At 35.2% G+C, this 15,169-nt stretch overlaps 1 protein-coding gene and 1 non-coding gene across 14 annotated transcripts in view; both read right to left on the bottom strand.

The window, feature by feature from the left end:
- ITGB8 (integrin subunit beta 8) overlaps positions 1-15,169 on the bottom strand; it is an 85,989-nt gene that overhangs the window by 31,977 nt on the left and 38,843 nt on the right. For all 13 annotated transcript variants that reach the window (XM_011515393.3, XM_017012179.2, XM_047420345.1 and 10 more), the window contains 3 exons: positions 4,481-4,727; positions 2,947-3,112; positions 1,893-2,051 (listed from right to left, as the gene is read on the bottom strand). In XM_011515393.3, coding sequence (XP_011513695.1) covers positions 1,893-2,051; positions 2,947-3,112; positions 4,481-4,727 — 572 coding nt within the window. The remainder of the gene's footprint in view (positions 1-1,892; positions 2,052-2,946; positions 3,113-4,480; positions 4,728-15,169) is intronic.
- LOC124900239 (small nucleolar RNA SNORD56) lies at positions 6,377-6,447 on the bottom strand. The gene has a single exon (XR_007060654.1). It is a non-coding gene; the product is annotated as a small nucleolar RNA SNORD56 (small nucleolar RNA).

Genomic DNA, 15,169 nt, shown 5'->3' with positions numbered 1-15,169 from the left:
GATGTCATAAGAATCCAAGCCCTATCTAAAATTCCACTGGACTTATAACTTATTTCCATAAGGTTCTATAACATGGTATATGCCTAAAATTATGACAGCATTTCTTTGCCTAGGAAATCCTCCCTAGATGAGCAATAGTATCCTTTTAAATACAATTATGGAGAGATGACTTCAGTGACTTGGCAAAACTTCAAAAGAATAATACAATTTGAGAATAATGTCATTGTTATTTTCTTCTTAAAAAAATAAAAACCTTCTCTTTGTCTCACAATAGAATAATTCTTCCTGTACCCTCTCCTACTCCCCAATAAATAAATTAGAACTCTACCATCAATCAAAAGAGGTTAAATAGAAGGAAAGATAGATAAGAAATGACTAAGTAGAAGTAGGTGGGTCTGTCAAAGTGAAATAAGGCTGAGTAGAAGAGAATTATGGAAAGACACTATTGGAATAACTCCAATTCTTGAATTTTTGAATTCAATCTCTAGTTACCTTTTAAAATCTTTATATTTTGATACTACTTTCAAGAAACTAAAATGACCAAGTGTTGAACCTGTTTCATATGGTAATACAATTGCCACTCTAGAATTTCAACAGATCTGGTAGGGTATTGCAGATGAACTGGTGATCTACTTAAAATTTACCCATGGGAACCACACAAATTTCAGCATAATTTTCATGCTTCTGATACTGTGATTCCCAAACTGTGTGTGAGGTGTCTTGGTGCACTGCAGCACACTCCCAAGGGTGGCAGGAAATAATTTAAATCTTCAAGAGAAATACAGTGACATTCAGCATGTATCAGGTACCAATGAAGAACTAGTTGGAGGGAGTTCATAGTTTTAAGATTACATTTCGTTCTATTCTTTTAAATGACATTAATCTTTACCAAGCTGGTCAACTTGAAAATCAACACGGAAGAAGAAATCAGGGTAGTGATGACCAATCTGATTTCAGGATTTGAAAATTTCTGAAGTTACTTACTAAAACTGAAACATGTATCTCTACACTTGATACATTTGTATTATTTTTAAGGAGATACTAAGTTGTTAAGACATAAATAGTTGAGTTATTTGGACTTAACCACTTAAAAAAACAGAACTATTAGGTATTTCTTTTGACCCACGGGTGTCATGGAATAAAATCACTGAGAGACTAGGGTCTCATGAACTGAGAAAGTTGGAGAGGTTCTGTTTTAACATATGCAAGAATATATAAATAAGTGTCAACATCAGAAGTAAATGATGCTTTGGACTGTTGATTCTTCACAACTAGAATTAGATAATGCCAGGGAAGATATGGTTCTAGGTGATTATATTAAATATATGATTCAGAGCTTATACTAACCCTCAGGAAGCAAGCCAGATAGTCACTGATTTAAAAAGAGACCTTAAATAGATAAGATGCAGAGAGGTAAAGTACAAAACAGAGAAAGCCTGCTTTGTTTGACTCTCTTTCTCTCTTGTCTTTTTTCCCTGGTTTCTATTTAGTTTCTACCTATTGTACTGTGAGGTTTCCTCCTTAAAATGTTTGTAGATATCGACCCCGTAGACCTGGTCTATTTGTATAAAGCAAAGGTATACTTTTTTCCCCTGTCTTAGAATTACATAAAAAGTAAAATCTTGTATCATTTTTATTTTCAAAAATTATACAGTGCTTTGTCATTCATCAAAGAGTCAGCTACTAGAAACTGTCAAACTGTTTTATTCATATATTTTATTGATCAGTATTTATAGATTGCACTGTTCCATAAATTCTCTCTCATGGCTTATCCTTGTTCTGTATCTTTCTTTTGTAGGTAATTTCCTGGTACAAAAATAGTTGAGTTGCCAATTTAAAATTGTACTTTAACCAAAAGAGTCATATCTACTAAGCGGTTACTGCTGCATTACCATGGTTGTCGATTTGACATAGACGTTGTTTTTCAGATGACAGTTTCCGTCATTGGGCACCACTATGCCTGCCAATTTGCTATCAAGAGCGAGATGAGACGTCTGATCTGTCATCACCAGCAGCAATCTTTTAGCCTCTTTTCGCCATCCGATATGACTCTTAAAAATAAACATGTAATTAGACTTTGTACAATAACACAGATGTGTACTGTGGTTTTTACCTCAAGTAAACATTACGTTTGAGTTGACGAACAGTAAGTCAGGCTAGAACGATGTGCGTGGGTACAACGCTGCTGCGTAAATAGCTTTAACTTTTATTTGTACATCCTCTATTTTCCCACAGCCATGTGACCACACTAGTTCCTGGCTAGAGATTTCTAGTGTTCCACTGGAGGAAGAACAATATAGATTAAAAAGTAGGAGAGGCCAGGCACGGTGGCTCATGCCTGTAATCCCAGCACCTTGGGAGGCCGAGGCGGGCGGATCACGAGGTCAGGAAATCGAGACCATCCTGGCTAACACGGTGAAACCCCGTCTCTACTAAAAATACAAAAAACTAGCCGGGTGTGGTGGCGGGCGCCTGTAGTCCCAGCTGCTCGGGAGGCTGAGGCAGGAGAATGGCGTGAACCCGGGAGGCGGAGCTTGCAGTGAGCCGAGATGGCGCCACTGCACTCCAGCCTGGGCGACAGAGCGAGACTCCGTCTCAAAAAAAAAAAAAGTAGGAGAACAAGCTGAAGTGAGGAGGGCAACAGTCTACTTCTAGTTCCTCCTTGGAGTGTGGCGCATGAGAAAAGCAGCCCTTTTGGAAAGAATTTTCGCGTTCATAACCTATTCTTTCCCTTTTGTCTTTTCCTATTTAAATCCCTCCCTGAATTTAGCCCCTCTGTCCCAAACACATACCGAAATGAATCACCTTGGTGAGGAGTAAGAGATAGTAAGATATGTTTTCTTCTACACTACGTTTTCACTCCACAAATCAAAGAGAAAATAAAACGTCTAAATTCTTTGAAAGTTTGGCATCTTAGCAAACACTCGATCATGTGAAACGTCTTACTTCACAGACAGCTGCCTGAAGCATGGCGTCAAAACCTCCTTCTGGTGTATCTATGTTTCCAGAGATCTTCTGTCTATGAACTGCTTTCTCAAACTCAGTGATGTTCTCTGTCAAAGACAGCACATGGATGTATCCATGGGGAGGCATGCAGTCTAAATTGTAGTCACTGTGTGGGAAAAGAAGAAGTGTAAAGTTTATTTTGCTCTTCTTAAGCATTCTGGAATACTTAACAGTAAAATTGTACAGTTGTGTGAAAAGGGAGTACTTCTTTTGTGCCAGGGAAACTTTATACGACGAAAATCTATGCTTATAAAATTAGAGATAAGCTCAATGCTGATGACAATTTCTTTGCAAATAGGAAATAAGACTATAAGCATTTGGTATTCAAAAAAATAAAGATGATTAAACATGTTTTTTAATATAGGACAGTTAAAGGCTTTCAATATTTAATCTGCGCTGTGAATTTTTAAGGTGAATATAAGAATGTGCAGTGATTTCTTATCATTGAACAGCTGAGAAACACTTCTGGAAAATGCTTTTGAGGAATTTAGTTGAAATATGATATTAGTTTTTTTTAATACTGCACTAATTTTTAAAGTGATGCTTGGTGGAATTATTGATGAACAATCAATATTCATTAAAATTATTTTGAGAATCTATGATACCCAGAAAGTAAGAATGATTCCTCCTGTACATTCACCTCAAGAAGGCTTATGAAACTCCATTGATGGATGCATCAATCCTGTTCCGGTACAACAGATGACAGAGCTGTTTCGGTAAATTGGAATGTGTATTGTAAAGTAATCTAAGCAATTTGTAGAAGCAAGAAAGATAAAGTCTTTTGTGAAAAAAGATCCATACAGATTTATTTTTCTGAAAATTCCACAGGCTAATGGCAATATTGTGTGAGACACTTGTATTTTTAAGGCTAATTCTTCTTTCATAGTGGGACATATGTTATTTAGAATCAGAAATCTAAAATGATAAGAAAAAAGGCTCTTTCTAAGCAATCAAATTCTCATCTTTTGACCCACTTTCTTTGTGATAACTGAGATTTCTTTGTAGTCACATCGGAGACAACATCATTATCCCCAGTCACAGTACAGTAATGGAGAGATAGATGACGTGTTGGCACAAACTCTTTAAAATGTGTCAAATCATAATTCAGCAATTTTGGAGCAATCAAAAAATAAAAATACAGAATTTCCAAAGAGGTATTTATATACATGGCAGCCTAACTATTGAAGCTTCATTCAAAGTTACTAACATTAGGTAGGGTTTTTTGTTTGTTTTTTTGTTTTTTTTGGTGATAAAAACTGACTAAATATTTAAAGAAATATAAAATAAAAAGCCCAATCTACAGTTCATCTCAGAAGTTTTCAGATATGAAGAAACCTCCCCACCTCACCAAATATTTTTATTCTTATTTTATAAGATAAAAATATAAAATTTGGTAAGTTCTTTACATTAAAAACAAAGTGAGATTTTATAAGCAAAAAATTAATTTAGCATATCCACATCAAACCCTAGATACCTGCATTGATTATGAATCCTTTCGGGGTGGATGCTAATGTATGGTGAAACTGTTTTATCAACGTATGAGCCAAATCCAAGACGAAAGTCACGGGAGAAAAATGCCATTTTTCTAGATAAATCGTTTCCAACGGAATTTAATTTTTCTATATTATTGTGCATTGATGCTGAGACATCAACAAGATAATAAAGATCCACAGGATATTTCTTCAGAGGATGAACTTTCAGCATAAAATTAGCTTCGGCTCCTAGTTCAATAGAAGAAAAACATCATGTAGTCTTCATTTTAAACTTTTCAGGATAAGCTCTTAATAAATTAGTCACATTCTAGCACCTAGCACAATCATCACAAATTTGCACATAAAATTTGGAATATGCTAGTGTAATTATAATAATTATAGTATAATTATTATTCTAGTATAATTATAAGGCAATTTGAAAACCATACCAATTTATTGGTCTCCAAATCCTACAGTTCATTTCCCACAATTCTATAGGCTGAATAGGGATAATAACAAATGGGCCAGCTCCATATAAATGTAACAGGGTATTGTATCATTATATGAACCTCCATTGCCTTAGTAGCTAGAAAAACACAGTGCAAACCAGCAAGCGGCATTCGATCTCAAGACAGTGAGGGGGATGTACGTGTGGAATGACTTGAGGAAAACTGGGAAGGTATCTTTAAAAAAAGGTGATCTCCTATTGGATAAAGGCATAAATTTATTCCTTTGGGTTAAAGTGTATTTACACAGGAGATGAGAAAACTCTGGTACTGTGTAGTACAGCAAGCTATTCAAAATAATTAGTACCTCATCACTAGTTAGTTGGTAAGATTCTTCCCATCAGTTAGCCAAGTGAAGGAATGAGACAGTGGGCTAAAGAATGGTGCCCTGCAGTGCCACATGGAGGACCTGGGGAAGGTAGGGGTCAGCATTTGTCCAACACACGGTAGGTGTTCAATGAACACATGCTGAGGAGGGGGCCCATGAGCGAGGCACCCACCTTGGGCAAAACAACTGGATGAGGAGAGGGGGCTGCCACAAGGACAAATGTCGGTAGTCCCCGCAGGGAACTACAATTTTATTTAGTTCTCTGTCATATTACTATTTGATACAAGGACTTGGGTTGTCCCCCCTAACCCTCTATAGAGTTGGTACCTCTACTTTTAATTTCAAGTATATGGTGAAAAGGCATCTATTTAAATGTAAGCAATTTGTAATTTGTAAATTTTACTTTTTTAAACTATTAAGTAAATGCTTTGTAAGTCATTATTTTTCCATAAGAATATTCCGAATGGAAAACATTTTTAAAATAAACATTCATTTGTATACATAATTTACCTATTTAAAGAACCTTCTAATTTATCAAATTATATTTTTGGTGTTAGCATAAAATAGCAATATTTTCTTTTCGATTATTTCACAAATCAGATGTTTTTCAGCCAAATTACCTACTGTATTCAAAATAATAAGGTTTTGCTGGTATATAATAATAATTATGGAGAAAGGGACTACTCATTCCTAATTTGCTTTTTCTGTGCAGGCAACCCCTTTAGTGTAATGCTCCTAGGTTTTGGCCCATATTTGAAAGGAGAAATAGGGCACACATGGCCCAGCCCAGTCCATTCTCTCATCCCTTGCCTTCAGAAGCTAGGCTGCCTCCTGAGAGCATATCCTATATTCTGCTCTGCTTTTGGGCTTCTGTTGACAGAAAGAACTGTTCCTGTGGCAGTGTTCTGCAATTTGAGTGGAGAAATTAAATTCAGGGGAATGTTAGACACTGGTACACTGGGCCAGATCGATGAGAAGTAGAAATTCAACACTACTGGGAGAGCGGTTCATGTTCAGGGACTTGAACCTTGATGTGTGGATCAGCGTTTTTTTGGTTTTGTTTTTCACTCAGACAAAAAGTGTCGACTCTCTCTAGGTGAACTGCTGTTGATGAAAAGTGTTGCTATCTTTGTAGATTTAAAAAAGATTGTTTTTGTAAACCGGCCACATGGTATCATGGTATTTTTATCTTGGTGAATCGTTGCAGTTTATGGTGGCTCTGTCTAAAGATAAATGGCTGTTTTCAGAGGTACTGCTAGATGTAATAGATGGTCAGCATATTGTGCCAGGGACCCAGCAAAGGTATAGGTTGGTGACCTCAGCAAACAACCAGGGCCTGTACAGCATCAGCAAAAGCCCAGTCCTTGGAGGTAAGCTATTCAGGGCCCTCCAACCAAATGCTAGCCACACAAGGGCCCTCAGCAGAAACCAGCTGCTCATAGCCTAGCAAGCAAATTCCGGTCTCGCTGGCCTCAGCAAAGAAGAGAGGCTGTGAGAAAGCACTGCCAAATGGTTGGGGTGTGAGAGTGTGGGCTGCTGTGGCTCGATTTTGGATTCTATAAATTCTGGCCTTAGCACGTATACCGGAGTCAGCTGAGGCCTTGGTAGAGAAGTTTCTAATAAAGAGGAAAAGAGTATTTCCATACACAGGCCTTTTAGTAATCGCTAGCAAGAATAATAATTGATATTTTTACACTGCAAGACCCTTGAGCTTGCTGTGAGGGTCTAGCTTTAAGTAGTCAATTCAAGGTAAATAGACCTAGCTAGGCTGACCCCAAATCGTGCTCTGCTTGATAAGGAGGAAACCAAAGGGGTCAAGCTTGGATTACCATGTCATGCCCATTAGTTTGAGATAGTCCTCATAATATGCTCTCAAGTTGGCTTTGGATCATATAATTATAAATAAAGGAGAAGACTCTTGGGGGCAGGTGTCCTAGGCATCAGTATTCCACAGTAAGAGGACATAGAAATACCTTTTTGCAGCACTGTGGATATTGTGTCCCTAGTTAACACCCCCACTTAACCTTTGTACGTGATCTCATCATAGAGCCACTTATAAACTATTTTGGACAAGATGCCTGGGCATAATTTTGGAGGAGAAATGGAATAGGGTACAAAACATGGGCTTAGAGTGACCCTGGAAATGATTTAATTAATGAAGTACTATGACCCATTTCAGGGTTTCCAGGAAAATCTCCACTTCCCATCAGTGGTTTCAGAGTTAGTACCAAAGGAACTCTAGTTGGCATGGGGACGTGGCTACATGAAAAGGACAGCAGAAATGTCCTGATAGACCATGGATCCCTGCCCTGACAGGGACAGCACCCTCAGTTTCATCACGTGCTTAATGGCAATATCCATTGGTTTTAAACAGAGCCTGGAAATGTTAGGGAGGGGAAGGAAGGGAAGGGGAATGATTGCTCCTCACTTTTCCTCCTTCCTCCCAAGTAGGACAAGCCCCATGACAATAACCCCCTCCCACATTCACTCCTCCTCAAGCATAATATATGATTTTCAAAGCCATTTTACCTAAAGAATTTTATTAATTTTGCACAAGCCATGTTGAATATATTTCTATTAATACTTTACCACTATCTGGGCTATTCCAACTATCAGGTATTATAAACAGTTATATGTAACTGAATTTGTTATATAAAGATTAAACTTAACCTGGCATGTGCTCTCCAGATATTTTTAGTTGCAAGGCACCATGGGTTAATATTTGTATTGAATATTAATAGATGATATGTCAGTGTTCCCTTTTTAATTTCACATTAAATTAATTATAGCTGTTCTTGTCATTTTAGGGGGTTTGGGTGTTGAAGATAAAGGGTAATGATTACTTTAAATTTCTGGTATCTTTCTTTGCCAGTCTCAGAAAGTAACCTAAGTAAGTTTCTACAACAGAAAACAAAATTCTGGTGATGCTTCAGTTGTTTTTTTGTTCATGTACTTTGTTACCATCCTTCATTCTTTTCAATAGTTTTCTGTTTTTGGAATACAAGTAAATGTGAAGAATCTATTTGGGTGTGTGTTTATGTGAATGTCTTTAAAATATCATTCAATTCTTCTGAATGCAGAGCTATCTAATTTTCCTTTTTTTTTTGGAATTTGAATCACATTATCTCACCAATTTTAGGTCTTTTTTCCTATATTAAACAATCAATTCTTACCACTAAACATAGGTAAGACCAACTTTGAGGAAAATAGTTATAATTGACTATAATTTGGGACCGACCATAACATTTCCTTTTTTTTTTCCTTTATGAATGTAGAATTTCAAACACAAGGTAAAATCAGGTTAATTTCGACACTATGTTCAAACTCATTACTTTTGACCCAGTGAAGGGTTTAAGAGTTAAGAATCTAGTAGTTTAGTTTTCACTCACTTTCCTTACCTATTATTCATCAAGTTAAACATTTCAATTGAACTCTAGCATGCCAGAATACTGGGATATACTCCTATCCATCCTTGCCCTTCATTGTCTTTTTGCCTGGATTATTTCCATAACCTCTTCATATGTCTACCTCTATCGTCTCATTTTCCAGCCATCATTATCTATACCACCGAGTCGATCCTTTTAAAATCCAAATTACTTATTTTTTGTCAACAGCTCTCCACCAGATGGCCAATGCCCAATGGCTAAACATGTCAGATCGAAGTTCCTACATAATACTTACTCTTGTCTACATCTTTAGCTCTAGCAAGACAAATCTGCTTTACTTCCCCATATACAGCCTACAAATGCATACTCCTGTGCCCTGCCTGTGGTCCTTCCTCTGCCTGTGGTGGCCCAACCTCTTCTTCTTCATGTAATTACCAGTTAAAGACACCACTCAGTAATCTGCTCCTTCCTAAACTGAGCTGAGGGCCCCGCCCCTGTGTTTCCATGGCAACTGGATCATACCACCATTTTAGTGTTTACCATACAATTATGAGACTCTAGACTGGACATCTTTATCTTTTTTTTTTTTTTTAGCAGCTAAGAGCTACTAAATAAGGTAATCTATGTAAAATATTTACCCTAGTATTGCCTATATAGTAAATGCATATGTTAGTAATTATTACTTACTACTACTAGATTCTAAGCAACACTAGGGTAAGAACTGTTTCTTCATCTCTGAAGCCTCTGTAGTTGGCACATACATAGTCCCCCATAAATGTTTTATAACTAAACTATATTTGAAGCACATTTTGGTTCAACATTTTAAAGGGCCCACATGTTTACTACAGAAAGAAGCCAGCGTCTAGAATTTATTTCCCACAGTATAGGCAGAGCTTCCACAGAGTTTCTCTAAGAGGAAAAGAGTATCATCTGGCTCCCAAATCTTCCTGCCACCACTTATATTATCTCCAGGAAAGCTTTATCCTCATGCCTTTTGAGATTCTAAGAACTCAGACACTCATTTCCTTCCATTAATTTTAACGGGAAGAAGTGAGTCTGTGGCAGAATTAGAAAGAAGACATGGAGGAGAGTTGATGACCTACTTAGAGCTATTGCCAGTGATTGGTTTGAATACAAAGAATAAAAAGTGGTTAAAATGAGTTTTTAAACTACTCAAAGAATGGTGTGAGCATCTCTGATGTACTGGGCACAACGAACATGACTGCACACTAGGAAAAGATAAGTAAAAAAATGATCTGCTTAAGATGAAATTTTAAAACCAAGAGAAAATGTGGAAAGCTGTAAGTGGAAGAATGATAAGCCAATTTCTATTCATTATACTTCAGCAGGGGAAGGAGAAGGGCCCCCAAATGGGACCAGTTTATAATGGCAAGGTACAGACTCCAGTACATTTCCTAATTTCTGTGGGAAATAAAGTGAGGAATGTGTGCCAGGGGGTGGAGAGAAAATGTGCAAGTTCTGTTTTGTTTTCTAAATTTTGAAATTAAGAAACAGGTGAAGCATATCTGGAAAATCTTACTAAATCTACACTAAATTAGAAGATTCTTTTTGCACATTATTAAAACGAACCAAGTTTGAAACATTTTCTTAAGTTAATGAAATATAGGTTAAACTAATCCTTATCATATACATTGTATTATTTCTGAATTAGAATTAGAGAATTCCCTTCTCTGTCCTATTTTCCTAAAGAGTTAATATCCAGTTTCCTTAGAGAACATCAACTAGGATCAATAGTCTATTTCTGTTATCATTTTCCATAAGATTCATAAGTGAAAATAAGAAAAAGTATATTATAAGAAGTGAAAAGTAAAGAAAATGTCATTTTTAAATGTCATTTAAAACATCCAATTAAAATATAGTCCTACTAACATTTTTTAAGAAACCCTAGTCAGTACATGATGTAATAAATATATTCATGAAAAATTCTTAACAGATGCTACATTGGAAGTCATAAATTTTTATCAGAGAAGAATAAAGTGATAAATCAAAATTAATATTAAGAGCTCAATGCATTTTCCACTTAGGTATGCATTATATCAAGCCCTTGATTCTGATTCATCTCATGGTGAAAAGGACTTTCACATCATGGAGTATGTTTCTATATATCTGGGGTTGCCAACATTTAGCTTTATATATTATGCCCTAAGACGGATATGTCTTTGATGTCAAATTCATTTTTTAAGAACATATTTTCAGTTTAATTTAATAAATATTTGCTATATATGGGGGTTATAAACTAGTTCTGCCTCATGGAGCTCACAACTATGTTGGAAAGATGACTTACACACGTTAGACAATTATGCTAATTTGCACATAGAAATTCAAATAGTAATGGGAAATTTAATAAAATCAAGCTCCACAATGACTGACATAAAATTATTTCTCTTTTTTCACTCTCCTACTCCCCATGATCTCTTCCCCACTGCGTTCACTTACCATCTCCTGTTGATGTCTCCTGTTTCTCTTCTATCTCCAACCCCTATCTCTCCCCTGAGCTTCAGCCTCATATAGCTTAAGTCTCTCTCTCTCAACTCAAGACATCCCAGTTTAAATCAACACCACTTCATTCATACAGATTTCCCTACCACACTAAGTTGCTTGCCAGATCCTGGGAGTCCCACATGGCCTATCAATCACCAACTCCTGTGGATTCCACCTCTCCATTCTCTCTCAAGTTTACCTAGTTTTCTCCTGTGTCATTACCACTATCATTGCTTGTCTACAGCACTGAAACAATTTTCCAACTTTTGAACTGTTCATTTATAGTCTCAGAAGGACCAAATCATCATTATATCTATAAAAAAGAACAAGCTAAACTCATTGAAGTGTATAAATTATTTGTAACATACCAGTAGAAAAAATGCAACTTATAATTTTCAAACTTATATATTTAAAAAAGAGCAAGACATTTAAAAGAATATAGTTATAGTTATTAGAGGCAAATAATATATAATAAACCTCTGAAAATTAGCATTCAATTAGAAAAATAGGCATATTTGTATGGAGACAGAAATCACACACAAAAAAAGAGAGATGAAGATGATTAATACCTTAGGAAAAATGTTCAAACTTTCTAGTTCTAGGAAAAAGGCAAAAGAAAACAGCTAATGGACTAAACAAATAGCAGACATTAAAAAGAATGAAAGCAGGCATGGTTGACTAATGAAAGGCTAAACTGAACATCGAATTTTTTGTGTGAATAATGTAACAATCTACATTAAAAAGTAAATACATTGTCATACATTTGACCTAGCAGATCTACTGCCAGGAATGCATGCTAAATAAATATGCGGTTATATACAAAGATACATGCATAATAAGTTTCAGTGAAGATGTGTTTTAAAAAACTGCATTCAAATTTGACTGGGATTGATTGTCTTACATTTATTGATTCACTTGGACTTTGTTATACTTATAGACTATATAGAGAACTGTCATTGTTATGATATTATATTCAGGAGCATAAAATTCTTCTCCATTTATTCGTATTTTCTATTAGGTAGCACAATGGATCTTATACTTTTTTAAAAGTTTATTCCTAAACAGTTTACATTCTAGGTTGCTTTTATGAGATAATCACACAATTGATCATTTTTCTTCATTATATTTAATATTACAAAGGAAATTCACTGATTTTTGAATATTTTAAAAAACAACCTGCCAGAGTAAAATTTAAAAGTATTCAATAGTTAGTTTCATTTGATTTGCTTGGATTTTCCATAGCATGATAATTTTGCTTTATCTTTTCAAAATGTTTATAACTCTTATTTCATTTTTAAAAATGTAATCATATTTATGTATACTTTTGAGAAGGATTTTAACATATCCTAAGGGAGTATTCTTCGATTTTGGTTTTGCCGGAAATGGGCACTAAATTTTATTGAATTATTTTTTATTATCTATTGAGATAACAATATGTTTTATCTCTTTTTGGCAAACTAACATCATAAAAATACATCAATTCCAAAAATCAACTATCTTTGGTTTTCTAGCTTAAGCCTATTTGTTTGGTGATATTGTTCTTCTTATCACATACAGTTAATTTGATTTGCTAAAATTTTATTAAGAATTTGATAATAGGGTTATACTAACCTTGTAATAATTAAGTAGCTTCTAGGCATCCCCTAAAGTGATGTAAGAGTTTAGGCCGGGCTCGATGGCTCACTCCTGAAATCCCAGCACTTTGGGAAGCCGAGGCTGGTGGATCACCTGAGTCGAGGAGTTCGAGACCAGTCTGGCCAACATGGTGAAACCCTGTCTCTACTAAAAATACAAAACAAATTTGCCAGGCATGGTGGCAGGCTCCTGTAATCTCAGCTATTCAGGGGGCTGAGGCAGGAGAATTACTTGAACCCAGGAGGCAGAGGTTGCAGCGAGCTGAGATCGCACCACTGTATTCCAGCCTGGGTGACAGAGGGAGACTCCGTCTCAAAATAATAATAATAATAATAATAATAAATAAGTAAATAAATAAATAAAGTAGTGTAAAAGTTTATATACCACAGAGATGATGTATTCCTTCAATATTTGAATGAACATGAAACATTTCTGCTCATGAAAGCATTTAGACCTAATGTTTTTAGGGAGTATTTCTTATTAAGGGAGGTAATTATAATTTTTATAATTATAAACATTTATAACTTTTTAAACTTCTTGTATATTAGGTTTCTTAGGGTTCTCTATCTTGAGTCAATTTTAGACATATTTTCCTAGAAAATTATCTCAAGACTTAAACAGTTTATTATAGATTTTTGTGCTTAATATTTCTTAAAGGCTTCTTTCTGAATTTTTTTCTATAATTATGGTTTACATAATTAGGTTATTTGATTTTTTGCCCTCTTTTCTTAATTAGATTTGCCAACAATTTATCTATTTTATTAGACTTTACAGAGAACCAGCTCTCTGGTTCTCTGGATTTATACATCCATTTTATTCTTTTTTTCCTATTTTGCATTTCATTAATTTTGCTTTGTTTTTAAATTTAGGAACTCTTTTCTCTGTTTTTCTTATGTTTTTTTTGTTTATCTTCTTCTTATATCTTTGGATGCTTAGTTCATCTGGATTCATTTTTCTTTAATAATAAAAGCACTTAAAGTTGTGAATTTTTGTAACAACATCATCAATAACAACCTGTATATTTTGAAGTGTTTGTTACTGCTATTATTGGCTTATAGGACTAGAGTTTCAATTTATTCTTGGAGATAGAATTATTTAGGAGAGGCTTCTCTGAAACTTGCTGTTATTTAATATTTATTTATTATTTTGTATTGACTTAAAATTTTATTACACCATGCTTGTAGATATTGGCATATAAGAACAGTTTTATTTTTAGAATTGTGTTTTCCTGCCTAAAGTGTAATTCATTTCTAAAAATATTCCATGGGCTTTTGAAAATATTATTTATGTATCAAATGCTATCGACTGAATTGTGTTCCGAAAAATTCATATGTTGGAGCCCTAACCTCCAATGTGACAGTATTTGAATAGGGGGTCTCTGAGAGATATGATTAGGTTTAGATGAGGTCATGAGGATGGAGCCGACATGATGGGATTAGTGCACTTCTAAGAAGAGATACTGGAGAGCTTTCACTCTCTCACTCTTTTGCATGTGTGTTCTCTCTCTTGATCACTTTCTCTCTGCCCTGTGTGGACGTAGCAAGCCAGGATGAGACCTCTCACCAGGAACCATATCTACTAGCCTCTTGATCTTGGACTTTCCATCCCCTAGAACCATGAGAAAATAAATTTCTGTTGTGTATGCCACCCAATCAACGTACTTTGTTATAGCAGCCAAACAGACTAAGAGACTGTTTATTATTTTTCTATTCTATTATATAATTCCTATTTACTTCATGTGCAAATATTAAGGTGTGGGTTTTTCAGTTCTGCTGTTTTGAAAATCCTGTTGAAGGAAAATGAAGAGTGAAGAGGCAGGAATTGAGAATTCTGAAAGATTTGCAGGAAAGATGATATTAACAACTTACTCTTAAATTCAGGTGTGAACTGGGAAGTATTTTCAGACTCATTTGAGTCAGAAAGCTGAAATATAATTGAATTACATGTGTGCTGAAAGGGGCGATGGCCTGGATTAAGATCCTGAAGAATCAGGTAGATTAACAATGGGAAAGGCCCTAGATTATAGTTTTGCTAGGGATATGGAAATGCATAAGAAATGGGGGATGTTAGGCATAATCTCAGGCTCATATAGATCAGAAAAACTGGGATTACAAACCTAGTAGGATAACAGTAAAATTAAAAAAAATCATTAAAGATGGTTGGGCAACTATAACGTTAAAATACAGCTTATATTCAGTGTGCACGAAGGAGCATAACAAAAATAAATAAATAAAATGCAGCTTATAATTTTCAAATCTCAAGAATTTAAAAAAGAGTAAGACATTTTTAAGAATGTAGTCATATTTATTAGAGGCAAATGATATAGGTTAAGCT

Source organism: Homo sapiens, chromosome 7, assembly GCF_000001405.40.
Source record: "Homo sapiens chromosome 7, GRCh38.p14 Primary Assembly".
NCBI lineage: Eukaryota > Metazoa > Chordata > Mammalia > Primates > Hominidae > Homo > Homo sapiens.
This window is presented reverse-complemented; position numbering and strand designations above follow the sequence as displayed.